The sequence below is a fragment of the Homo sapiens genome, chromosome 17 (genome assembly GCF_000001405.40).
Source record: "Homo sapiens chromosome 17, GRCh38.p14 Primary Assembly".
Classification (NCBI taxonomy): domain Eukaryota; kingdom Metazoa; phylum Chordata; class Mammalia; order Primates; family Hominidae; genus Homo; species Homo sapiens.
This window is the reverse complement of record NC_000017.11, coordinates 49,158,898-49,186,718: the sequence shown is the minus strand read 5'-3', so window position 1 is coordinate 49,186,718 and position 27,821 is coordinate 49,158,898. Positions and strand designations below refer to the sequence as shown.

The window sequence follows — 27,821 nt, the reverse complement described above, 5'->3', positions numbered from 1 at the left end:
GCTGGGATTACAGGTGCTTACCAGCATGCCTGGCTAATGTTTGTATTTTTAGTAGAGACGGGGTTTCACCATGTTGGCCAGTTTGGTCTTGAACTCCTAACCTCAAGTGATCTGCCCACCTCAGCCTCCCAAAGTGCTGGGATTATAGGTGCAAGCCACTGTGGCCAGCTGCCTTTTCACTTTCTTAATAGTGTCTATATTAGCCCGTTTGCACACTGCTGATAAAGACATAGCTGAGACTGGGAAGAAAAAGAGGTTTAATGGACTTACAGTTCCACGTGGCTGTGGAGATCTCACAATCATGATGGAAGGTGAAAGGCATGTCTCACATGGCGGCAGACAAGAGAAGAGTGCTTGTGCAGGGAACTCCCCTTTTTAAAACCATCAGATCTCGTGAGACTTATTCACTATCATGAGAACAGCATGGGAAAGACCTGCCTTCATGATTCAGTTACCTCCCACTGGGTCCCTCCCACAACACATGGAAATTCAAGATGAGATTTGGGTGGGGACACAGCCAAACCATGTCGTTCTGCCCCAGTCCCTCCCAAATCTCATGTCCTCACATTTCAAAACCATTCATGCCTTCCCAACAGTCCCCCAAAGTCTTAACTCATTTCAGCATTAACTCAAAAGTCAACAGTCCAATGTCTCATCCGAGACAAGGCAAGTCCCTTCTGCCTATGAGCCTGTAAAATCAAAAGCAAATACAATGGGGGTACAGGCATTGGGTAAATACAGCTGTTTCAAATGGGAAAAAAATGGCCAAAACAAAGGGGCTACAGGCCCCATGCAAGTCCGAAATTCAGTGAGGCAGTCAAATCTTAAAGCTCCAAAATAATCTCCTTTGACCCTGTGTCTCACATCCAGATCACGCTGATGTAAAAGGTGGGTTCCTGTGGTCTTGGGCAGCACCCCCCTGTGGCTTTGCAGGGTACAGCCTCCCTCCTGGCTGCTTTCACAGGCTGGCATTGAGTGCACAGTGCAAGCTGTTGGTGGATCTACCTTTCTGGGCTCTGGAGAATGGTGGCCCTCTTCTCACAGCTCCACTAGGTATTGCCCTAGTAGGGACTCTGTGTGGGGGCTCTGACCCCACATTTACCTTCCTCACTCCCCTCGCAGAGGTTATCCATGAGGGCCCCACCCCTGGAGCAAACTTCTGCCTGGGCATCCAGACATTTCCATACATCCTCTGAAATCTAGGTGGAGGTTCCCAAATCTCAATTCTTGACTTCTGTGAACCTGCAGGCTCAACACCATGTAGAAGCTGCCAAGGCTTGGGGCTTACACCCTCTGAAGCTACAGCCCAAGCTCTATGTTGGCTCCTTTCAGCCTCAGCTGGAGCAGCTGGGATGCAGAGCACCAAATCCCTAGGGTGGACTCAGCACAAGGACCCTGGACCAGGCCAATGAAACCATATTTTCCTTCTAGGCCTCCAGGCCTGTGATGGGAGGGGCTGCCGTGAAGACCTCTGACATGCCCTGGAGACATTTTCCCCATTGTCTTGGCGATTAACATTGGCTCCTCATTACTTATGCAAATTTCTGCAGCTGGCTTGAATTTCTCCTCAGAAAATGGGATTTTCTTTTCTTTTCTTTTCTTTTTTTTTGAGATGGTGTTTTGCTCAGTCACCCAGGCTGTAATGCAGTGGTGCAATCTTGGCTTACTGCAACCTCCACCTTCTGGGTTCAAGTGATTCTCCTGCCTCAGCCTCCCGAGTAGCTGGGATTACAGGCACACAACACCATGCCTGGCTGATTTTTGTATTTTTAGTAGAGACAGGGTTTCATCATGTTGGACAGGCTGGTCTCAAACTCCTGACCTCAAGTGATCTGCCTGCCTCAGCCTCCCAAAGTGTTGGGATTACAGGTATGAGACCAGACAGATTTGAGAAAGTTTTGAAGACTGAAAGCCACCATGCCCAGCCAGGATTTTCTTTTCTATTGTGTTGTCAGGCTGTGAATTTTCCAAACTTTTGTGCTGTTTCCCTTTTAAAACTGAATGCCTTTAACAGCACCCAAGTCACCTCTTGAATGCTTTAAGGCTTAGAAATTTCTTCCACCAGATATCCTAAATCATCTCTCAAGTTCAAAGTTCCACAAATCTCTAGGGCAGGGGCAAAATGCTGCCAGTCTCTTTGCTAAAATGTAACAAGAGTCACCTTTGCTCCAGTTCCCAACAAGTACCTCATCCCCATCTGAGACCACCTCAGCCTGGATTTCATTGTCCATATCATTATCAGCATTTTGGTTGAATCCATTCAACAAGTCTCTAGGGAGTTCCAAACTTTAACACATTTTCCCGTTTGCTTCTGAGCCCTCCAAACTGTTCAACCCTTTGCCTGTTACCCCGTTCCAAAGTCACTGCCACATTTTTGAGTATCTTTTCAGCAGCACCTCACTCTCAATACCAATGATGGCAGTGGCTGCTGCCATCCTGCCAGCTGCATCAGGGAGGCATGGCTAGGGCTGCACACTCCATGGAGCCAGTGGGAGACCTGCCCTTTCTGAGTTGGGACGGGGGTGCCCCATGCCACTGTAGCTGCCCAAACTGTAGCTGCAGACCCAGCCCTCCTGCTCTACAGAGCAGGCAGAAGCCTCACCCTCCTGGGGCTATGCAAACTGCAGCTATGGATCTGAGCCTCCCTGTGCTCTTGGGGGAGCTAGGTGCAGGCAGGATTGTCCTCCTGGGTGCAGCGGCAGCTGCCAGACCCGCAACTGCAGACCTGGGCCTCGCACTCCATGAAGCAAGCAGGAGCCAGGGACAAGAAGGAGGCCTGCCTCTTCCAAGTTAGCGGGGTAGGAGCTCCCAGGTGCAGCTGCGGCTGCCCTCCCAGGTGCAGGACCTAGGCGTCTCTGCACCCTGCACCCTCGGGTGCCCCAGAAAGGACCCCCTCCCCCACCCCATCCCTGCAAGCTCAGAGGTGTCTGCTCCCACTGCCTGGCCTCTCTGCACTCCTGGCACACACTCCCATCTCAGAGCAGGGTTAAGGCCAAGCCCCAGAGCCATGAATAGTAGCAGGAGGCAGACAGTCCTGGGCAGAAGTGGGTGGGGTCCCTAGTAAGGCCCCACCGTCAGGCCAAGGAGGGCCTGAGGGCTGGGGGCTGGGGGCTGGGCTGCCAGTCCCACAGACTGGAGTGCAGACTCGTGGTACCTCTTCCGGCCTGCCCATGGCTGCTCATGGACCAATCGGCATGCACTTCCTCCTCTTTGAGGTCCATAAAAGCCCTGGGCTCAGCCAGAGCAGGCAGAGGATGGCCAGAGGACAAAGAGGGCAGGGAGACAGGACAGGACAGGACGAACAGCTGCAGAGAGGAGGAGTACCATCTACTCCAGCTCTGGAGAGGAGTACCATCTATGGGACAGGGCAACCAGCTGCAGAGAGGAATACCCTCTCTGCTGAGAACTGCAGAGATGAGGGACCAGCAGAGAGGGTACTTCTCTCTGCTGAGAGCTTCAGAGACCTACCGAGACATCTGAATGACTTGGCTGAGGAGAGGAACTATCCTCTCCAGGGCCTCCTCTCTGCTAAGAGCTAAACACTTGACTGGACGACCTGCCTGCAGAGAGGAGGTACCCACTCCTCTGAGCTGTCCTAACACTAAATAAAACTCTTCATCACCTTTTACTTGTCTGCATACCTCATTCTTCCGGATGCAGGACAAGAACTCAGGCAAAGGCACTGTGGCTACAGAGATTTCCAGCCAGAAAAATTGACCCCCAGTAACACCAACTTTCTGTATTAGTCCGTTTTCATGCTGCTGATAACGATGTACCTGAGACTGGGAAGAAAAAGAGGTTTAATGGACTTACAGTTCCATGTGGCTGGGGAGGCCTCACAATCATGGCAGAAGGCAAAAGGCATGTCTCACATGGTGGCAGACAAGAAGAGAGCTTGTGCAGGGAAACTCCCCTTTTATTTATTTATTTACTTATTTATTTATTTGAGATAGAGTCTTGCTTTGTCACCCAGGCTGGAGTGAAGTGGCATGATCTCAGCTCACTGCAGCCTCCACCTCCTGGGTTCAAGCGATTCTCCTGCCTCAGTCTCCCAAGTAGCTGGGATTACAGGCATGCACCATCACACCCGGCTCATTTTTGTATTTTTAGTAGAGACAGGGTTTCACCATGTTGGCCAGGCTGGTCTTGAACTCCTGACCTCAGGTTATCAGCCTGCCTCGGCCTCCAAATTGCTGGGATTACAGGCATGAGCCACCATACTCGGCTGAAACTCCCCTTTTTAAAACCATCAGATCTTGTGAGACTTATTCACTGTCACAGAACAGCATGGGAAAGACCTGCCCCCATGATTCAATTACCTCCCACCAGGTCCCTCCCACAAGACGTGGAAATCAAGATGAGATTTGGGTGGGGACACAGCCAAACCATGTCAATGTCTTTTGATGAGCAGAAGGTTTAAATTTTGATGGATAAAGTCAAATGTATCTTTTTTTTTCTTTTATGATGAATGCGTTTTGTGTCCTTTGCATGTGGAGAGCTGGGATCTTTACAAGCACAATGGTATAGGAGAGAGGCATATACAGTTATATAGATTACTCAGTTACATGAGGAACATCTTGATAATCCCTTGGTAAAATTTAAAGATGAGGGAATTAGAATTTATATTCTAATTTGAATATAACTTGAATTGAACTTGTTTGAAACTGAAGGGCATAAAGGAAGCAGGAGCATCCAAGCAAAGGAATAAGAAAAAGAAAAGCTGTGTGTTAACTTGAACCCTCTGTCAAGACAGATGCAGGGTTGAGTGGAAGAGGTAGGGTGGAGAGCAGGCACCTCTTCAAAATTTAATGATCCTGAAATTGGTGCTGGTGTCTGGAACACAGACTATGTGCCTATCAGGACTGTAGAATTAGGGGAAATGGTAGGAAAAAATTGGAATGCTGGCAGGAGTTAGTGATTTCATGCAGTCTTCAGGTCCTATAAGAGACATCTTTTAGGCTGAAGGTGCCCTGTTTTAAGTTTTCAGTTTTGCTTAGAGTGGCTTGCAATCCAAGTTTACCGGAAATCCTACAACTTGGAGTGTTACAGGACTGGAAAAGCTGAATTCTGTACCCCAAGTGAAAGTTAGCATCCACAGAGACAGGGGACTTAGCAGGACACTGATTTGGGCAAGAGACCAGCTTGCTGCATCACAGTGCTTTAAACATTTTCTGCCCACGAAGAGGAAAAACTGGGGCAAAGAGCAGATTATAGATGGTCCCTCTGTACTAGAGACGACTATTGTGAATAGCCTCAAGGCAGAAGCCATTTAACTGAGCGCCAGAGGCCTGGGTGGTGGCCTGTGGTTACAAGAATAGGTTCCCCAGTCTCAAAGATATGTCTAGACGAGATGTCTGGAAGTGACTGGAAGTGACAGGAAACCTGTAAGTTTTAAGGAACTGCCAATCAGATTTCATTGGCAATTCAGTTTCCTTAAAACCCTGACTGTTAACAGCTAATGAGTTTTTACTCCTAAGGCCATGCCCACACCTGTGAACACCACTAACAGGAAGTGAGCAGTTAAAGCTGTGTGTAGGTTTCAGAAAGGTCAACCTGCCCACTGCCCACCAGATGTAGATCTGGAAGGTAAAGGACAGGGGTGCTTCTCCTAGAGCAGGCTGGTCCAATCTGTGGCCCAGGACGGCTTTTAATGCGGGCCAACACAAATTTGTAAACCTTCTTAAACCATTATGAGATTTTTGGCCAGGTGTGGTGGCACACGCCTGTAATCCCAGCATTTTGGGAGGCCGAGGCGGGCGGATCACAAGGTCAAGAGATCAAGACCATCCTGGCCAACATGGTGAAACCCCGTCTCTACTAAAAATACAAAAATAAAAAAAAAATTAGCTGGGCATGGTGGCACACGCCTGTAGTCCCAGCTACTCGGGATGCTGAAGCAGGAGAATTGCTGGAACCCGGGAGGCAGAGGTTGCAGTGAGCCAAGATCACACCACCGCACTCCACCCTGAGCGACAGAACAAGACTCCATCTCAAAAAAAAAAAAAAAAAAAAAAAATCAAAAACCTTCCTAAGAGTGGAGAAGAAGCCAGCTGACCTCAGACCCAATTTCTACTTCAGCCGCAGGAAATAGACACACCTATGCAGGCAAGAAAAAGACCAGTAGCCCAGTAGCCAATAAGATCCGTCCTCTCCAAAAGCACAGCCGCAGTTTTCCTTTCCTGGGTTAAGCGGGTGGGGAAGAAGTAAAGGAAACAGAGAGGGCAGGCTTGAGCGCCCCCTGGAGGCCCATGCAATTATTTGGCTATTTGTACCCAGCTTTCCTGAAATTTGGAGTTTAGCAGAAAATATCAGGGGGATACTCAGTGTCCTGGAAGGATAGCTTTGTCATTGGTTTGGTCCAGGCTCTTTGGTTGTGTCTGAAACTCAAGGCTGGAGGAAAGCCTATGTGGCTGGTATTGTCTGTGACCTGGTTTTTGCTTCCAAACTGCCCGAAGGAGAAAACTTTTTATTTATGTATGCCTTTCTGTTTTGGAAACAGGCAGTTGTACAGCATGGTTGTATTATTTAGGACACTTTGTTTATAAGTAACAGGAACCAACTCAAATTAGGTTAAGCAAGCCAGGCGTGGTGGCTGAAGCCTGTAATCCCAGCATTTTGGGAGGCTGAGGTGGGAGGATTGCTTGAGCCCAGGTATTTGAGACCAGCCTGCCAACATGGTGAAACCCCATCTCTACAAAAAATACTAAAATTAGCTGGGCATGGTGATGCATGCCTGTAGTCCCAGCTACTTGGGTGGCTGAAGTACAAGAATCACTTGAATCCGAGATCGCGCCATTGCACTCCAACCTGGGCAACAGAGTGAGACTCTGTCTCTAAAGATTAAAAAAAAGAGTACATATGAAAACCAACATCCTTATGTGTAAATATTTAAAGCTATAAAAAATGAAGCTAGCAAAGTGTTTAATGTTCTATCCTCTTACCTTGACAAAGATGTCATTATAGTGGCAAAATTAAAAAGAATTGTAAAGTGGTGGTGGTTTTGTTTGTTTGGGGTTTTTTTTTTTTAAATATGTTTTGCTCTGTTGACCAGGCTGGAGTGCAGTGGCATGATCTCACCTCACTGCAACCTCTGCCTCCCATGTTCAAGCGATTCTCGTGCCTCAGCTTCCCGAGTAGCTGGGATTACAGGCACATGCCACATGCTGAGCTAATTTTTTGTATTTTTAGTAGAGATAGAGTTTCACCATGTTGGCCAGGCTGGTTTCCAACTCCTGACCTCAGGTGATCAGCCCGCCTCAGCCTCCCAAACTGCTGGGATTACAGGTGTGAGCCACCGCACTGAGCCATTTGTTCTTACTCGTCCAAACATCAACAATCCATCAACTGAACACCAAGGTATGTATAATAATAATAATTAAATTGGCTGGGCATGGTGGCTCATTCCTGTAATCCCAGCACTTTGAGAGGCTGAGGTGGGCGGATCACCTGAGGTCGGGAGTTTGAGACCAACATGGAGAAACCCTGTCTCTACTAAAAATACAAAATTAGCCGGGTGTGGTGGCACATGCCTGTAATCCCAGCTACTCAGGAGGCTGAGGCAAGAGAATCGCTTGAATGTCGGAGGCGGAGGTTGTAGTGAGTCGAGATCGCGCCATTGCACTCCAGTCTGGGTGACAAGAGCAAAACTCTGTCTCAAAATAATAATAATAATAATAAACAAATAAATAAATTCCATTGCTTTGATATGTTGCCTACTCTTAGTTGTTCAAAAAAACCACCACTTGACTGGGTGCAGTGGCTCACGGCTATAATTCCAGCACTTTGGGAGGCCAAGGTGGGCAGATCACTTGAGATCAGGAGTTCAAGATGAGCCTGGTCAACATGGTGAAACTTCCTTTCTACAAAAAATACAAAAATTGGCTGGGCATGGTAGTGGGTGCCTGTAATCTCAGCTACTAGAGAGACTGAGGCATGAGAATTGCTTGAACTTGGGAGGCGGATGTTGCAGTGAGCCAAGATCACAACACTGCACTCCAGCCTGGGCAACAGAGTGAGACTCTGTCTCAAAAACAAACAAAAAAACAAAGACACATACACATATATATAATTTGTAAATTATCGTATATTTATCCCACATAATTTAATTTTCTTGCTTTTATTTCAACAAAATCACTAATTATGCTTTTATAATCAAGATTGTTCACATAATTTGTACTCTAAGAACAGTTTTAAGTAAAGCAGCAAACTACAGCCAAGGGCTAAATGCAGCCTATGGCTTGTTTTTGAATGGCCCCTTAAGCCCTCAGTATGGCTTTTACAGTTTTAAAGAGTTATCTTTTTAAAAGAATATGTAACAGAGACCTTATGTGGATTACAAAACTTAAGATATTTACTATCTAGTCCTTTACAAAAATGTTTGCTGATCACTAATCTAAAGCAATTCTATTCAAAGTGTGCTCTGAGGCCTGGTCTGGGAGCTCTTTGTTGTCAGCCTGCAATGAGATAAGGGCTTGTGTCAGAATTCCTAAGCACAAGGTTTTAGTTGAGCTGACGTTTTTTCATGGCAAGACTTTAATTTTTTTTTTTTTTTTTACTTAAAAAAAGTTTTAAATATAGAGACAGGGTCTCACTATGTTGCCAATGCTGGTCTTGAACTCCTGGGTTTAAGTGATCCTCCCGCCTCTGCCTCCCAAAGTGCTGGGATTATAGGCATGACCCACTGTGCCTGACCAACACTTTCTTTTCTTTCTTTTTTTCTGAGACAGGGTCTCACTCTGTTGCCCAGGCTGCTGGAGAGCCGTGGCATGATCACAGCTCACTGCAACCTCCGCCTCTGGGTTCAAGCAATTCTCCTGTCTCAGCCTCCCAAGTCGCTGGGGATTACAAGCATGTGCTACCACACCCGACTAATTTTTGTATTTTTAGTAGAGACAGGGTTTTAACCATGTTGGCCAGCCTGGTCTCAAACTCCTGAATTCAAATGATCCACCCACCTCAGCCTCCCAAAGTGCTGGGATTACAGGCTTGAGCCACTGTGCCCGGCAGAATCTGGCAAATTTTAAAATTTGTCTTTTCCTTTTACCTAAGCACGTTGCAGCCAAAATCCTATCAGTACTCCAAAGCGCTGTCCACAAACTTTCGTTGCATTTGGATGCAATTGTCTTTTGATGACACAAGGCAAGAGATGTGGAGAAGTATAGAAGTATTTTCCTGGGGCCTGAATAGCATTAGTCCCAAGAACGGATGTTTAGGGTTACCAGTCACGCTGTACTAGTGCCAAGCACTGGATCCTAAGTGACAGAGATGCCCTGGGCTTTGTCAGTAAGTGCACGTTTGTGACATGCAAGGTACTCTAGAGCACAAGGTCCAGGTAGGTGCTCTTCTTGCTTGGAACTAAGGGGAGTCATATGGGACTGCATTGGGATGGGACAATGCAATGTTGTTTTCCTATATATCTATGCTTGTTTATCTTATTTTTTTCTTCCAATCAAAGGCTGCCTATGTTCGTCTTTTTTTTTTTTTTTTACTAGAGATGGGGTCTTGCTATGTTGCCTGGGCTGGCCTCAAACTCCTGAGGCTCAAGCAAGTTTCCTGCCATGGCTTCCAAAAGTGCTGGGATTACAGGTGTGAACCGCCATGCCTGGCCTATAGCTATGTTACTATACAAAAAAAGTTATAGCAATATAATCTTTATGACATACAATGAATGAGGTGTGTGCTCAGTTCTGTTTTGGGAGAATAAAAAATGACTGCTTGTCTCTAACTGTACTTCAGAAATGCTGAATTAAACAAAGTTAAAGAGATTTCCTTACTTCAGGTCTTCTCAGAGGCTTTACTACACTAATGTGAACTGCAACCTTACAAGAAGGAGACATAGCATGCAATATTTTTCAAAATTATTTGAGTACCAAAATCAATTTTGCTGTAAGTCCATTTTTCAGGAATTTTTATTAATATATCACAGAACACATTTTTAGTGATCCTGAACTACCCTAGGCCACAGGAAGAAAAAGTTTACAGGTAAACAGAAACTGTAAAGGCAGGGCTGAAGTGGTCATAGAATCTGCTGTTGGGAACAGGCCCCCAAATCTGGCCATAAACTGGCCATAAATAAAATCTCTGCAGCACTGTGACATGTTCATGATGGCCATGATGCACACACTGAAGGTTGTGGATTTACTGGAATGAGGGCAAGGAACACCTGTCCCACCCAGGGGGGAAAACCTCTTAAGGTGTTCCTAAGCCACAAACAATAGCATGAGCGAGCTGTGCCTTAAGGACGTGGCAGATAACTAGCCAGAGCCCATCCCTTTGTTTCAGTCCATCCCTTTGTTTCCCATAAGGAATACTTTTAGTTAATCTATAATCTTTAGAAACAATGCTTATCACTGGCTTGCTGTCAATAAACATGTGAGTCAAACTCTGTTCGGGGCTTTCAGCTCTGAAGGCTGTGAGTCCCCTGATTTCCCACTCCACACTCTATATTTCTGTGTGTGTGTCTTTAATTCCTCTAGCGCCGCTGGGTTAGGGTCTCCAAGACCGAGCTGGTGTCGGCAAGTGGCGCCCAACGTGGGGCTTGAACCCCAGTTGAAGGGTCGCTGGAGTGATGGTTGGAGAATGTGGAACTAAGCTGGAGGACACCCGAGTACCCTTAAGCAATCCCCATGGTGAGTAAGAAGGGGAGCTCGGAAACATCAGGGTAACAATGGGACAAGTGTGGGCTCTGGTGCGTTCCACCTTAGAACCTTTTCACACTAATGATGAGAAGGAAGGAAAGTATAACAAAGTAACAGAAGAGATGACACAGCAGGTTTGTTTGCTGGCTGAAGCTAAAGCGGCAAATGAGGAAGAGGTTTGTCCCTACTCTTCTTCACCCCCTCATTATTTTGAAGAAAAAGAGTGACCTGACCCTACAGATCTTTCTTTTCCAGAGGACACTGGGTGAAAAGTAGTTGCCCCAGTGACTGTTCTAGCAGTGCCTCGAGTGACTGCTCTCAGTTCTATTCAGGCAGGAATTGAGCCAGCTAGACGAGAGGGTGATATAGAGGCTTGGCAGTTCCCTGTTAGGATATACCCCCCAGATCAACAGGGAAATATTATAGCTCACTCCCTCACCCCTGTACAATGTCTGTCCCCCACGACAGCCAGTAGTGCCACAGTAGATTTATACTGCACAAAAGCTGTGAGCCTTATGCTTGGGGAATCCCCACAAAAAGTTCCAATAGGGGTCTGTGGATGCTTGCCGGGGGGATGATAGGATTACTTCTAGGTAGATCTAGTTTAAATTTAAAAGGAGTGCAAGTACATACAGGAGTCATTGATTCAGATTACAATGGGGAAATTCAAATTGTTATATTTACTTCTTTTCCTTGGAAAGCAGAGCCAGGAAAGCGTATAGCACAACTTCTGATTGTGCCGTATGTGGAAATGGGGAAAAGTGAAATTAAACGAATAGGAGAATTTGGAAGCACAAATAAACAAGACAAAGCAGCTTATTGGGTGAATCAAATTACTGATAAACATCCTACCTGTGAAATAACTATTCAGGGAAAGAAATTTAAAGGTTTGGTAGATACAGGAGCAGACATTTCAATCATTTCTCTACAGCACTGGCTGTCCACGTGGCAAATTCAACCCACTCAATTTAACATAGTTGGAGTTGGTAAAGCCCCTGAAGTATATCAAAGTAATTATATTTTGCATTGTGAGGGGCCCGATGGACAACATGGGACTATTCAACCAATTATAACTTCTGTACCTATACATTTATGGGAAAGAGATTTGTTACAACAATGGATAGCACAAGTTCTAATTCTAGAGCAATTGTATAGCCCTCAAAGTCAACGTATGGTGCATGAAATGGGGTATGTCCCTGGTATGGGACTAGGAAAAAATTTGCAAGATTTGAAGGAACCACTTCAAGCGGAAAGACAAAGTTCCTGCCAAGGTTTAGGATATCATTTTTGATGGCAGCCATTGTTAAGCTTCCAGAACCTATACCTTTAAAATGGTTAACAGATGAGCCAATTTGGATAGAACAATGACTGCTAAGTAAAGAGAAACTGGAGGCTCAGAGGACTTAGTTACTGAACAATTAGAAAAAGGACACATAGCTCCAACATTTTCCCCTTGGAACTCTCCAGTTTTTATAATTAAGAAAAAATCAGGTACATGGAGACTGTTAACTGACTTAAGAGCCATTAATTCAGTTATACAACCTATGGGGACATTGCAGCCAGGACTGCCTTCTCCTGCTATGATTCCAAAGAATTGGCCTTTAATAGTCATAGATTTAAAAGACTGTTTCTTTACTATCCCCTTAGCTGAGCAGGACTGTGAATGGTTTGCATTTACAATTCCTGCAGTAAACAACCTGCAGCCTGCTAAGCATTTTCACTGGAAACTGTTGCCACAAGGCATGTTAAACAGTCCAACAATTTGCCAGACTTATGTAGGGCAAACAATTGAACCTACTCATAAAAAATTTTCACAGTGTTACATTATTCATTATATGGACGATATACTTTGTGCTGCCCCCCACTCGAGAAATATTACTCCAATGTTATGATCACTTGCAAAATTTGATTTCTCATGCTGGTTTAATTATAGCTCCTGACAAAATTCAGACTGCTACTCCTTACTCCTACTTGGAGACTTCAGTAAATGACACTATCATTGTGCCACAGAAAGTAACCATATGTAGGGATCAACTGAAAACATTAAATGACTTTCAAAAATTACCAGGGGACATTAATTGGATATGACCTACTCTAGGCATTCCTACCTATGCCATTTTCTAACCTTAGAGGAGATGCTAGTCTCATAGCCCTCGGCAATTAACAAAAGAAGCTGATGCAGAGCTGCAGCTCATCAAAAAGCAAGTCCATAAAGCTCAAATAAATATAATAGATCCAGAAAAGACTCTAGATTTGCTAATTTTTTCAACTCGGCATTCACCTACTGGTGTTATTGTTCAAGAGCAAGATCTTGTAGAGCGGCTTTTTCTTCCACATACTAATTCACGGACTCTAACTCCTTATTTGGATCAAATCGCTACTATGATAGGAAATGGGAGAACTCAGATTGTTAAATTACATGGATATGGTCCTGGAAAAATTATTGTCCTTCTCATGAAGGCACAAATAGAGCAAGCTTTTATAAATAGTCTTACCTGGCAAACCCATTTAGCTGACTTTGTGGGTATTCTTGATAATCATTTTCCCAAAACAAAATTGTTTCAATTTTTGAAATTAACTAATTGGATTCTCCCTAAAATAACTAAATTCAAACCACTTGAAGGTGCTGAAAATGTCTTCACAGATGGGTCTAGTAATGGTAAAGCTTCTAACTCTGGCTTGAAAAGTAAGGGCTTCAGATGCCCTATACTTCAGTTCAAAAAGCAGAGCTTATAGCTGTAATTGAGGTATTGACTGCTTTTAATAGGCCTATCAATGTGATTTCTGATTCTTCATACATGATTCATTCCACACAATTAATTGAAAATGCTCAACTACGATTCCACACAGATGAGCAACTGATGGCTTTATTTACCCAATTGCAAACAGCAGTCAGGAGTAGAATGCATCCTTTTTACATCACTCACATTAGGGCTCATACACCTCTTCCAGGACCTTTAACTGAAGGGAATCAAATGGCTGATCACCTAGTTGCTAATGCAATATCTAACGCTAGACACTTTCACAATTTAACCTATGTTAATGCCTCTGGTCTCAAACACAGATACGGCATTACCTGGAAAGAAGCTAAAGCTATTATCCAGCGATGCCCAACTTGCCAAATGGTGCATTCCTCATCTTTTACAGGAGGAGTTAATCCTCAAGGATTGGAACCTAATTCTCTTTGGCAAATGGATGTCACACATGTTCCCTCGTTTGGGAGACTAGCTTATGTACATGTATGTGTGGACACCTTTTCTCACTTTGTCTGGGCTACATGCCAATCAGGAGAGTCTTCTGCCTGTGTTAAACGTCACCTTTTGCAGTGTTTTGCGGTGATGGGCATTCCAGCTTCTATTAAAACAGATAATGCCCCAGGCTGTACTAGCCAAGCTCTAGCTACATTTTTCTCTATATGGAATATTAAACACATTACTGGCATCCCATATAATTCTCAAGGACAAGCCATAGTAGAAAGAATGAATCTCTCCCTGAAACAGCAGTTGCAAAAGCAAAAGGGGAGAAGCAGGGACTACGGGACACCCCATATGCAATTGATTCTAGCATTATTGACTTTAAATTTTTTGAGCCTGCTTAAAGGCCAGCAGCTGAACAGCATCTACAGAAACCAGCTGCAAAGACAGAAGCAGAACAACTGGTTTGGTGGAGAGATACAATAACAAAAAGTTGGGAAATAGGTAAAATAATAACTTGGGGTAGAGGTTATGCTTGTGTTTCTCCAGGACCGAATCAATAGCCAATTTGGGTGCCATCAAGACACCTGAAACCTTGCCACGAGCCAGATGCTGAGGAAGAGATTCCAGGAGGATCCCGAGGATCCCCTGGTTGCAGCCATGTCAAGACTGATGCTGAGGAGGACCCCAACTATCATGAGCAACAGCTGTCGAACACAGCCACCTACCTGGGGACAGATCAAGAAGCTGTCACAGATGGTGGAAGAAAACCTGAGGAAAGTGGGACAACCAGTCACAATGAGTAATTTAATGATAGATATGATAGTGGTGATCACCATTGCCATGAGTATTCCTTCAACAAGGAACAACACAGAGAACAGTTATACTTATTGGGCATATTTATCAATCTTGGCTGGCAATAATGCCTGGATGTAATCACTGTGTGACACAGTTACACATGCTTTCTGCTCTTAATATTTACCATAATAAATCTGCTCCTATAATTGAGGCAAAGCAAAGGCAGCTCAAAACCTATTTGTAAATAGAATTAGACCTGGCCAGAAATAATGAATGTACTTGTTTGGGAAGATTGCATTGCAGAACAGGTAGAGGTGCTGCACAACGATTCCTATGGAATCATTATTGATTGGTCCCCTAAGGGGATGTTTAGCTTAAATTACACCTCTCAGTCTGTGTGCCACAGCCACACTATGTTCAGCTGGTCTAAACAAAACAGTCAGATGGTAGAAATGGTAAGAAATACAGCAAGAGTTCCCATTATCTGGAAACGTGGCGGTATAGTGGCACCTCAACCTCAAATGATATGGTCCACTGTAGAAGCTAAACATAAGGATTTGTGGAAACTATTAATGTCTGTTAATAAGATCAAAATTTGGGAAAGAATAAAAAAGCATCTAGAAGGACACTCTACAAACTTGTCTTTGCATATTGCAAAATTAAAAGAACAAATATTTAAAGCATCCCAGGCACACTTGACCTTAATGCCAGGAACTGGAGTGCTTGAAGGAGCTGCAGACAGATTAGCAGATATTAACCCATTAAAGTGGATAAAGACACTTGGAAGCTCTGTGATTTCAATGATGATTGTGCTTTTAATCTGTGTTGTTTGTCTTTGTATAGTCTGCAGGTGCGGATCCTGACTCCTGTGAGAATTAGCTCACCATGACAAAGCTGCCTTTGCTTTTATCACTTTGGAAAACAAAAAGGGGAACGTGTTGGGAACAGGCCCCCAAATCTGGCCATAAACTGGCCCCAAAACTGGCCATAAACAAAATCTCTGCAGTACTGTGACATGTTCATGATGGCCATGATGCCCAAACTGAAGGTTGTGGGTTTATCAGAATAAGGGCAAGGAACACCTGGCCCACCCAGGGTGGAAAACCGCTTAAAGCATTCCTAAGCCACAAATAATAGTATGAGCTATCTGTGCTTTAAGGACATGTTCCTGCTGCAGATAACTAGCCAGAGCCCATCCCTTTGTTTCGGCCCATCCCTTTGTTTCCTGTAAGGAATACTTTTAGTTTATCTATAATCTATAGAAACAATGCTTATCACTGGCTTGCTGTCAATAAATATGTGGGTCAAACTCCGTTCAGGGCTCTCAGCTCTGAAGTCTGTGAGTCCCCTGATTTCCCACTCCACACTCTATATTTCTATGTGTGTGTCTTTAATTCCTCTAGCACCACTGGGTTAGGGTCTCCATGACCAAGCTGGTCTCGGCAATCTGCCAACCCCCAGGCAACAGAAAGAGGCTTATCCAACAACAGAGTGATGGAACCACTCTGTAAATGACATGAGTTTTGAGTGACCAGCAACTGGCCTCAGGTCCCTGGAGTTTAGTGGCTTGTCACCACACTCACACTGTCTGTTCACCATCATGCCTTGGCATGGGCTCTGAGTTCAATCCCTGGCATTCTGGAACAGGTCTGGAGTGAGTCTGATGCCAGGGCAGCCTTTGTTCTGGTGGACAGTGGGATGGCCCCAGGGCCCTCCTACCCTCTCTGATGCCTGAATGTCTGCTTTCAGGCTCCTAACAAGTTCACTCCACGGAGTCTTCCTCCACCACCTGGGACCTGGTGACCCCTTCCCTTCTCTGATCCTCTGACCCCGGCTGCCTAATTCTGTGATTGGACTGAACTGAACCAGGCTGCAAACCTCCTCAAGGCAAGGACCCTGGAATGTTCACATTTTTTGAGTCTACAAGATAGAACCTAATAAAAATATAGGGATGACAGTGATGCTGGATCCGATGCTTCTGACTGTGACAGAATTTCCACCAAACAACTATCAAGGACCAGGCAGCTGTTCTTTTGACTGAGGACACCAACCAATGTCATCTTTGTGTGATATCAGATGAGATGATGTGAGATACTGCCCATGCAAATGCTTCAAAAAAGGCAGGGCATTGTACAAATCATCATTGCTATTAATACAGTCTCCATTGCCCTGGTCAGTGACTGGTTCATTTCCAGTGACCCTTCACCTTTGATTGGTACTTCCAGTAACTGAGCCATTTCCCTTTTCCCTACCCACCAGCTGGTTTGGTACAACGTTCACCTATCAGGAGTCCAGTTTTTGGTGGCCTGCTATAGATACCATAACCAGCCAGCCTAGTGTTTCTCCTATGCCCTCACACCTTTATGCGGCACATTGGAGATGGTTCTTGAAGTAGTGGAGGGCCAGCTTGAACTGGACCCGGGTGAGGGTGTTGGACCGGTATGTATTGTAGGTCTTCTCTAGGGCAGCCAGTTCTGAGTCCACCACTGGAGACCGAGACTGGTGACCTATAATCACTTCTGGGCATGACCCCACGAGTAGGGTCCCTAGCCCATCAATGAAGAATTCTGCAAAGAGAGGGAGAGCAGAAGGAAGTGGGAGCTGCGGTCAGAAAAGTGGGCACTATTCTAGGTCTGGTGGGGGAGAGTCCCAGGGAGAGGACACAGTTCATACACTGGGGAGGTTCAGCCCCACGTGAAGCCACACCCTTAACTCTAGGAGCCTGTCCCTGCTGATGAGTTGGAAGGAAATAAATAAGCTCATTTCTCAGGCAGAGATATGGGCACAGAGGCAGAGTGGCACAGATTGGCTTTCAAACTGGACAGAACTGCGGACTCCAGGGCTGATGGAGTAAGAGGGAAAGAGAGAGCAGTTAATAGGAAAGGATTTCTGAAAAAATAGAATATGAAGCAGCATGGGAAAGGAGGAAGAAGACAGAGCTGTAGGGAAAGGAAGGGGAAGGAAAAGAAGGGCAGCCTACAGGAGACACAGAAGTCAAAGAGACGTGAGGAGGGAGGTAAGAGAGATCAAGAGCTCCCTAGTCTGGGGAGAAAGGGGAAAGGGGAAAGGGATGTACTGCTACTGGGCAAGCGACTATGATCAGCCAGCCGGGTACAGCCCTTGGAAAGAACAAACTTCTGCAGCTAATTCCCAGCCCAGCTCCCTCCCTCACTCTTTCAGCCTTCCCACCTGAGTGAGCCACTCGTTGCAGGCGGGGATCAAAGCCAACTCTTTGGAGTCGCTCCGTGTGGGCCAGGAAGAAGTTGACCACGCCACTGGTCACCACGCAGCTGGGGAAGCCATCCAGGGGTTGGAAAAATCCCATCCTCTTGTGAAGGCAGGCCCCATTCTCACTCTGTTCCAGCAACAACTTAAACTGGAACACATTTCCCAGCACACTGCCGCCTACCTAGCCAGCAGGCAGAGAAATCCATGTTAGAGTGCAGATCAATATTCATCCTGCCTCTTCCAGGAAGACTCGCTGGACTGCACCTCGGTTATAACAAGAATTGTTATTTCTCTGTCTATCCTTCAAATTATCCCTCAGTTACTCCCTCGTTGCTGCTGTGGCCATGGCTTTCACTATACCACTGTTGGGTCCCTGGGCTCTTTCATTTCCTGCCTACCCCAGAAAATCTCCTTGGCATGAGTAACCCTTACCCAAGACCAAAGAAGGTTATCTTTCCAGAAGAAGATAACTCACTCCCTTCCACTGGGAGAGGAGTACTGCAGTACAGGTAAGAGGCAGCCTGTGTGCACTGGTCCATTTGCGGAGTTTCCACTTGCTAGATTTCTTGCAGGGAGCTGTTTGTCTCGAGCTGTCTTCCTAGTATTTTCTGCTCCTGGCTTACCTCTTGGAGCTGCCTATCCATGCACTCATGGAAGAGATGTGCATTTTCATGTTTGAGCCTGAGCACAACAGATGAGCAAGTACATCTATTTCTGAAAGAATCATAATCCTCTAAGGGTGATGTGGTAAAGTCTGCTCATTGTCCCCCATCACCCGTTCTTTCCCTCTTCCTTTTAATAAATGACCCTTCTGAGTTTCACGACATAGTCAACTAGTCAGCTAAAGACTGCATTTCTGGGAGCTAAACAATGGGTACATGCAGGCATACGGTGTGGAATAATAGACACTGGAGAATACAAAAGGTAGGAGGTTAAGAGTGGTTGAGGGTTAGGCTGGGCGTGGTGGCTCACACCAGTAATCCCAGCACTTTGGGAGGCTGAGGTGGGTGGATCACCTGAGGTCAGGAGTTCGAGAGCAGCCTGGCCAATATGGTGAGACCCTGTCTCTACTAAAAATACAAAAATCAGCCGGGCATGGTGGCATGTGCCTATGGTCCCAGTTACTCAGGAGGCTGAGGCAAGAGAATCCCTTGAACCTGGGAGACAGAGGCTGCAGTGAGCCAGGATTGCGCCACTGCACTCCAGCCTAAGTGACAGAGCGAGACTCTGTCTCAAAAAAAAAAAAAAAAAAAGAGTAGGTGAGGGTTGAAAAATTACCTGTGGGGTACAATGTTCGTTATGCAGGTAATGGGTACACTAAAAGCCCAGACTTCACCACTACGTAATACATGTGTATAAGCTATCTGCACTTGGGCCCCCTCAATCTATAAAAATAAAAAACAAAGCCCATTTATTATTTAAAGAAAAAAAAGATTGCATTTCCCCACCTCCCTTGCAGCAACGTTTCACTGTGTGACAAAGTTTTGGCTGAAGGGGTATGATTTAGAACCGATGCGAGAAACGTTTACATCACATCCTTAAAAGAAACCTGCTCTCCCTTCACTTCCTCTTCCCCTCTTCCTCCTGGCCATGCAGCCAGGGACCAAAGGATTGAGGAGCAACAAGAAAAAGAAGCTGATCCAGGATAATCCTGGAGCCAACTCAGCTGCCAGTGTGGTTGTTACATGAGCTGGAACATCTTCTCTCTTAAGTTATCGTGATCTGGTCTCTGTAAGAGTTGCCAAGAGATGTCTTTGCTGATCTAGGTGTTTTGGGGATTGTCCACTTGCAGTAGAGTTAACTGTGATCACGACACCACTTACCTTCTCATCCATGCCCCTTTTTCTTTTCTACAGTGAATTTACTTTTGATGTTTTTATTATTTTCTTTTTTTGAGACAGGTGTCACTCTGTCGTCCAGGCTGGAGTGCAGTGACATAATCTCAGCTCACTGCATCCTTGACCTCCTGGGCTCAGGTGATCCTCCCACCTCAGCCTCCTGAGTAGCTTGGACTACAGATGCACACCACCATCCCTGGCTAATTTTTTGTATTTCTTTATACAGATGAGGTTTTGCCATGTTGCCCAGGCTGGTCTTGAACTCCTGGGCTCAAGCGATCCTCCTGCTTCAGCCTCCCAAAGTGCTGGGACTACAGGTGTAAGCCATCACACCTAGGCTGTTTTTATTATTCTCTTCTTATTCTTTTTTAGAATGTCATTAGTGCCGTGTGTGCTTTTAAAGCTTTGTACCATTTATACTGTTTTTAATGTTGTGTGATAGAACCAGAATGCTCCTGTCTTTAATCTCATACTAGTCAACGGAGGGAGTTAGAAATGCTGCATAAACACACAATTTTAAAAGAAAACAATTGCAAATGAGGGAGGAGGTGTAATTTACTCAAAGAAAAGTCAGTATGGAGGCGTGAGCTGGTGCAGCACTCTCCACCTGGGTTGCACTGGCCTATTCACCTCCTGCACCAGCCCCTCTCCCTCCCCTCCCTCCCCTCCCTCCCCCTCCTCTTCTCTTATATATTTCTTCCCGCTCTCTTCTCCCCTCTTCTCCATCTCTACAGATTGTGGCTGGGTGAAACTGGCAACTGTCCCTTACCACGTCCAGTTCTGTTTTCTCCAGGACATCCACCAGCACCTCAATCTTGGTCTCCTCGTTGAAGAGAAAATCATCGTCCACCCAGAGAACGTATTTGGTGGTGACCTGAGATATGGCCAGGTTCCTACCAGCAAACCAACCCTGTAGATGAAATGAGGTTAAAGGAGTGGTTGCCCATATTACATATTAGAATCACCTGGGGAGCTTTCTAAATTCCCAACAGCCAGGCTGCATGCACTCCAGACAAATTCCATTAGAATTGGTGCGAGCGAATCCAGTGTGCAGCCAAGGCTGTGAACCACAGGGTTGAAGGAAGTCCATGTCTCAGAGAAAGTCTGGAAGGGACAGTGACTGTGTGGATCAAAGACTGAGACAAAGAAAGGCTAGAAAGTCATTCCTTGGCTCTGTGGCCTATATAAATTGGCTGAAGTCCCTTTTCACCTGACAGTTTCTATGGCTCTCCTTTTGTCTCCTGTAAGATGTCAAGTTTGAAGGACATCTGGTATGTATAATATTCGTTTCCTCCTTTGTCCTTGGAGGAAGGAAGGGGGAGAGAGAGGGAGGAAGAAAATGAGAGAGGGAAAGAGTAGCAAGGAGAGAGAGAGGTGGGGGGAAAGAGAGAGGAAGGGTGGGAAGAAGAGAGGGAGAGAGAAAGAGAGAGTGGGGAGGGAGAGAGAAAGGTGAGGGGAGAGAAGGAGGGTGGGAAGAAGAGAGGGAGAGAGAAGGAGAGAGTGGGGAGTGAGAGAGACAGTGGGGGGAAGAGGGAGGGTGGGAAGAAGAGAGGGAGAGAAAGAGAGAGTGGGGAGTGAGAGAGAGGTGGGAGGAGAGAGAGAGGTGGGGGAGAGAGGGAGGGTGGGAAGAAGAGAGAAAGAGAGAGTGGAGAGGAAGAAAGGTAGGGGAGAGAGGGAAGGTGGGAAGAAGAGAGGGAGAAGGAGAGAGAAAGAGAGAGTGGGGAGGGAGAGAGAGTCAAGGAGAAAGAGGGAGAGAGGGAAAGAGGAGAGAGAGACCAAGACCCTAGCTCTGGTAGAATCATGGAGATGACAGATTTCTCTACATGTCAGGAATCTTTGAGATGTCAGAGACCTCAAGTCGCTTATAAGGACCCCAATCGATTTCCACATCGGAAATGAGGAAAGATGGGAGCAGTGTACAGTGGCTCACGCCTGTAATCCCAGCACTTTGGGAAGCCTAGGTGAAAGGATCTCTTGAGCCCAGGAGTTCGAGACCAACCTGGCCAACACAGTGAGACCCCATCTCTACAAAAAAATTTAAAAAATTAGCCTGGCATTATGGTGCATGCCTGTAGTCCCAGCTACTAGGGAGGCAGAGGTGAGAGAATCACTTGAGCCTTTAAGGTTGAGGCTGCCATGATCACTGTGATTGCACCACTGCACTCCAGCCTAGGTGACAGAGCAAGACTCCATCTCAAAAAAAATGAAAAATAAAAAAATAGAAATGAGAGGCTGGGTGTGATGGCTCACATCTGTAAACTTTGGGAGGCCAAGATAGGCGGATCACCTAAGGACAAGAGTTTGAGACCAACCTGCCCAACACGGTGAACCCTGCCTCTACTAAAAATACAAAAAATAGCCGGGTGTGGTGGTGCATGCTGGTAATCCCACCTACTCAGGAGGCTAAGGCAGGAGAATCACTTGAACCCAGGAGGTGGAGGTTGCAGTGAGCTGAGATCATGCCACGGCACTCCAGCCTGAGCGACAGAGCAAGACTCCATCTCAAAAAAAAAAAAAAAAAAATGAGGAAAGGTGGAATAACCACCTCATGAATGCAGAGAAGTGAGGGTGACCAATTTCTCTGTGAATCAGCAATGGGACTCAGAGGACAGCCCTCACCCACTCCCACTCCTGGACTCTGCTTTCTTGGGAAGACCCTTGAGGAAGCGGCCCCATCCAGGGTAGAACCTGACCCTGGGGCCCTCTTGTCCTGGAATGCAGGTGCCACCCAATCTGAGAGGGACATACCTTCCCAAAGGGCATAGTGTAATACTCCACGTGATTGTCTTTAATTTCCAGGGGCTTCTGGCTGTCATCAGCCACTATTACGGTCAAGTCTGGGTAATACTCTCGAATACTCCGGAGCATGATCATGAGCTTGTGGGGGCGGAGGAAAGTCTTGGTAGCAATGGTAACCAGGTTTCTGAGCTTCCTCTCTGGGCAGAAAACAGTGGGTGTCAGAGCTCTGTCCTGTAGGAAGCTTCACTGTCTTTTCCTGCTTTGATCTGATGGCTTCTTTCTGCCATAACCTGTCAGTGTCTGTGGGTCTCATGCCTCTTGTACCCAGGAGGTGCTTAATAAGAGTTTGTTAGTTGCATTAGAAAATAAAGACATTTACAACATACCCAATTTGTTGCATTTCCTGGTTCTGTTGGCTCCACTATGTCATTTCCCAACTGTCTGTCTGAATGCTTCATTTTACACCTCCTGCCTGTTAGCACTTTGCTTATGTCCTGCTTTCTTCCTTTTTTTTTTTTTTTTTTTTTTGATACGGAGTTTTGCCTCTGTTGCCCAGGCTGGAGTGCAATGGTGCAATGTCGGCTCACTGCAACCTCCGCCTCCCAGGTTCAAGTGATTCTCCTGCCTCAGCCTCCCAAGTAGCTGGGATTATAGGCATGCACCATCACACCCAGCTAATTTTTGTATTTTTAGTAGAGATGGGGTTTCACTATGTTGGCCAGGCTGGTCTCAAACTCCTGACCTCAGGTGATCCACCTGCCTCGGCCTCCTAAAGTGCTGGGATTATGGGCATGAGCCACTGCTTCTGGCCTTCATCTTAATATTAGGAGTTGAAATGCACAGAGCTTTGCCCATCTAAGGGTTCAATATGGAGGGTCATGAAGCCCAGGAAGAGGAGAAAATATCTACAAATCTTGAGACTTGCTTCTACCATCATCTGCAACTCCTAGAGAAAAGCTTACCTGATCTCTATCCTCAGGAAGACATGGTTAGAAATGTCTCCAAATACTTGGAGATCACAAGGCCTGGACAGAATTGTCCATCTTAAGGCATGTGACGTATAAGAGACTGGAGAGGGGACAGCTTTCCTAAGGAAAAGACCCCGTGATGCCACAACTGGAGCTGCAGATGTGTTTGGGATTCAGCCACTAAACGGAGAACTGGCATCTGACTGTGCAGTTGCCATGTCTGCATGGCATGGGGCCAGCTGGAGTTAATGCATGCTGGAAGCCACAACCCTACCTGTTTGTGGGTGAGTGCACAGAGCCACTTTCCCAGAATGACAAAAATCAGAAGTCGTTTGGACAGAAGTTGTTCCAGAACCCTCCCCCTGTGCCACCCTCTTGCCCTTTTTTTTTTTTTTTTTTTTTTTGAGACAGTTTCTGGCTCTGTCACCCAGACTGGAGTGCAATGGCATGATCTCGGCTCACTGCAACCTCCACCTCCCAGGTTCAAGCGATTCTCCTGCCTCAGCCTCCCAAGTAGCAGGGACTACAGACGTGCACCACCATGCCTGATTTTGGATTTTTTGGATTTTTAGTAGAGATGGGTTTTCACCATGTTGGCCAGGCTGATCTTGAACTCCTGACCTCAAGTGATCTGCTCACCTCGGCCTCCCAAAGTGCTGGGATTACAGGTGTGAGCCACTGAGCCCAGCCCATTCTGTTTTTTGTCATTGCAAACAGCGCTGCAATCGAACAAATGTCATTTCACACAGATATAAATATCTGTAGGATAATTTCTAGAAGTGGAATTGCTGGCCTAAAGGATATACACATTTAAAATGTTGATAGGAACTGCCAAATTGCCTCCCGAGAGGTGCCAATTTACATTCCTAACCACAGTTGATATGCTGTTTTTCCAGCCCTGTCCAAAACCTTTTGATGTGAAAGTAGTTTTCATATGCACTTTTCTCAGTGTGAGAGTGGGCATATATTTTAATGGCTAAAAGTGTTACTGAATTTAATTTTTTCTGAACTGTGCATTTTTCCATTATTGGGTGTTCTTTTCTTATTGAGTCATAGATGCTCTTAAGTAAAATTAGACCTTTGTCTTTAATGTGAATCGAAGATTTTTTTCCCAATTTGTCCTTTGTTATTTGACTTTACTTATTAAAATTTGCTAATTTGATTAGCCGGGCATGGTGGCGGGCGCCTGTAGTCCCAGCTACTTGGGAGGCTGACGCAGGAGAATGGTGTGAGCCCGGGAGGTGGAGCTTGCAGTGAGCGGAGATCGTGCCACTGCACTCCAGCCTGGGCAACAGAGCAAGACTCCGTCTCAAAAAGAAAAAAATTTGCTAATTTTAATATATAAAATTTTATATATTTTATATTTTTAATTTTTTCTTTATGGTCTCTGAGTTTTGTGTCATGCCTTATACCCTAAGAATGTTTTTTGAAACTACAAGTTTTTTTGTTTTTTTGTTTTTGAGACGGAGTCTTGCCCTGTTGCTCAGGCTGGAGTGCAGTGGCAGGATCTCGGCTCACTGCAACCTCCGCCTTCAGGGTTCAAATGATACTCCTGCCTCAGCCTCCCCAGTAGCTGGGATTACAGGTGCATGCCACCATACCCAGCTAATTAAAAATTAACTACAGGTTTTTTTTCTAGTACTTTAAAATGTATTTAGATATCTGATCAATTTGAATTTATCTTGGTATGAACTGTGGCATATATTCAAGTTTTACTTCTAATTTAAAAGTTATTTTTCATTGTTAATTTTTTTTGAGACAGGGTCTTGCTCTGTTGCACAGGCTGGAGTATAGTGGTGATCCTGGCTCACTGCAGCTTTGACCTCCCAGGCTCAAGCGATCCTCCCATCTCCGCCTCCTGAGTAGCTGAGATTAGAGGTGTGAGCTGGATTACAGGTGCAGGCCATCACACTTGGATCCAACTTTTTATCTTTCATATAGCTACACCATTATCTCACGTGATTTTTTGAAAAGCCAATTTTTAATTTGTTCATTTGTCCTCCTTTAATTTGACAAGCTGTCTCTCTCTTTTTTTTTTTTTCAAGACAGAGTCTTGCTCTGTTGCCCAGGCTGGAGTGCAGTGGCGCAATCTTGGCTCACTGAAACCTCCACCTCCTGGGTTCAAGTGATTCTCCTGCCTCAGCCTCCAGAGTAGCAGGGATTACAGGTGCCTGCCACCACGCCCAGCTAATTTGTGTATTTTTAGTAGAGATGGGGTTTCACCATATTGGCTAGACTAGTCTTGAACTCCTGACCTCAGGTGATCTGCCCACCTAGGCCTCCCAAAGTGTTGAGATTACAGGCATGAGTCACTGCGCCCGGCCAGACAAGATGTCTTTATCACACAGTGAAATTCCAACATGTATTGGGTTTATATCAGGATTTCCAATTTGATTCAATACCATTCTTTTTATTATTATTACTTACTAAAATGTTATAATTTTTTAGCTTTTTTCCCCAAAATTAGCACACAACCACATAATAAGTTAAATATAATTAAGCAATTTTAGGGGATTGTGTCTTAGAGTTTTTTTCCTCCAAACGAAGCTTGTCAGGGAGCATATCAGAGCTGTCATTTTGATCAATTCTCCTCCGTCTCAGAGGTGATCCCTTCTGAATTTCACCAATAGCTTCACAGGGTTGCCACCACGGAGCCCCAAGGACAAGGGCCTTACCTGGTCCAGGGTCGTATAGCTTGGGTATGACAGGATGGCGGATGGTCACTGGAAACTTGGCCACTGAGGACCTGGACTCCAGACTCACTGGAGGGAGAAATAAGATAATGGCACAGGGAGTATCATGTCTGGATTAAACTCCATGCCACCCCGGGAAGCCACCATGACAGGCGAGTACAGGTTTGGTGGGGAGAGTCCTGGTTGGGATGAGATCAAGGACCCCATAGAGTCTCTGGCATTCAGGCTTCTGCCTTGCTGTGTCCCTGGGGCAACGTGCTGAATGACTCCTAAGTTCACATTTCTTCCCCTGTGAGAATGTGTTAGGGTGGAGTGGGCTTGAAACCAGAGGGTCTGGGCTAAGTTTGACTTTACCATTTACTATCTGATTTTTTTATCTGTCTGCAAAACCAGGATAAAAATACCCACCCTATTTTATCTCACAGGGTAATCTTATGAAGAGGAATGTTTGAAAATCTGAAGGTAGGGAGAACTATCTCTTTAGCTAGTGGTCATGAATATCATCTGTAACCGTGTTACATTTTTTTCTGTTGATGTCCTGGGAATGCATCCTGTGTATCCGGTCAAAAGAGAAAAGGGTGCTTTTAACTCATCCAGAAGGAAACTCAGGCTGCCCTGAGAGTGGCAGGGATTGTTCTCCCTAGAATTTCTTGGTGGGAGGGAAGGAGGGGAGAGACAAAGCCCTTGGAATGGGGAGTTCTCCCAGTTCTTTCCTATTAGTGCCCAAGACAAGATGCTGAGGCACAGGCTGGCTCCCTCCTCTACTGCAGTGGAAATCTTCAGCTTTGAGAGCTGCAGAGGACTGGGAAAAGAACTGAATGGTTCTCACCAGGTGCAAAGCGCACAGCATGATTTGTTCTCTCCTCGAGTGGCTCTATGGGGTCAATGGCAATGTGGGGATAGTACTGGGTACAGTAATTATGAAATTATGTGTCTGGGATTAGAAAGAGGAAAGAGGGAAGGAATCTTAAAAGCAGGCAGGCAGGCCAGACGCTGTAGCTCACGCCTGTAATCCCAGCACTTTGGGAGGCTGAGGCAGGTGGATCACGAGGTCAGGAGTTCAAGACCAGCCTGGCCAAGATGGTGAAACCCTGTCTCTATTCAAAATACAAAAATTAGCCGGGCATGGTGGCAGGTGCCTGTAATCCCAGCTACTTGGGAGGTTGAGGCAGGAGAATAACTTGAACCTGGGAGGCGGAGGTTGCAGTGAGCAGAGATCACAGAACTGCACTCCAGCCTGGGTGACAGAGTGAGACTCCGTCTCAAAAAACAAAACAAAACAAAACAAACAAACACACACAAAACACAAAAAACAGGAAGGCTTCCTGAAGGAGGAAGACTTTGAAAGGGCCCAGAGGTATCTTCTGGATCCCTAAGCATTTTGCACTCCAAGGACAGGCTCTCACCTATGTCTACCTTCTGGTGCTGGTACCCCGTGCTGGTGTATGTCACGTGCTGAAGAATGAACTTCAACAGCTTCCGGTCACTGGTAGAAATGATCAGCTGCTTCTGGCCTCTGCCCTGCACCACACTGTCTGGGACATCAGCAAGGGTGTTCAGTGTCCCCAGAGAAGCTGTCAGGGTGACCTAGGGTGGGTGAGGTAGAATGATGCTCAATGCAGGGATTGGAAAATATCTCCCTGGAAAGATACATACATACCCAGGCCAGGAGCCAGGGCAGAGCACATAAGGGTGAGGGGAGAAGCACCAGGGTGCCCTTGACAGT

General features: G+C 45.8%; 1 protein-coding gene across 5 annotated transcripts in view, besides 1 other annotated feature; it reads right to left on the bottom strand.

The window, feature by feature from the left end:
• Nucleotides 2,875-3,375: an enhancer, noted in NCBI's record as "H3K4me1 hESC enhancer chr17:47260706-47261206 (GRCh37/hg19 assembly coordinates)". NCBI's record gives its function as "activates a minimal SCP1, AML or CMV promoter by ChIP-STARR-seq in primed H9 embryonic stem cells {active_cell/tissue: H9 hESC(primed)}" and the evidence as "EXISTENCE:reporter gene assay evidence [ECO:0000049][PMID:30033119]".
• Nucleotides 9,879-27,821, bottom strand: part of B4GALNT2 (beta-1,4-N-acetyl-galactosaminyltransferase 2 (SID blood group)) — a 56,497-nt gene continuing 38,554 nt past the window's right edge. For 4 of the 5 annotated variants that reach the window (XM_017024173.2, NM_001159388.2, NM_153446.3 and 1 more), the window contains exons 6-11: nt 27,502-27,682; nt 26,078-26,164; nt 22,444-22,631; nt 20,465-20,605; nt 17,819-18,038; nt 9,879-17,196 (exon numbers count right to left, since the gene is read on the bottom strand). In XM_017024173.2, coding sequence (XP_016879662.1) covers nt 16,991-17,196; nt 17,819-18,038; nt 20,465-20,605; nt 22,444-22,631; nt 26,078-26,164; nt 27,502-27,682 — 1,023 coding nt within the window. In that variant the 3' untranslated portion in view covers nt 9,879-16,990. Of the gene's footprint in view, nt 17,197-17,818; nt 18,039-20,464; nt 20,606-22,443; nt 22,632-26,077; nt 26,165-27,501; nt 27,683-27,821 lie in introns of those variants that run through there. The other variant, XM_011524314.3, reaches the window with a different exon arrangement.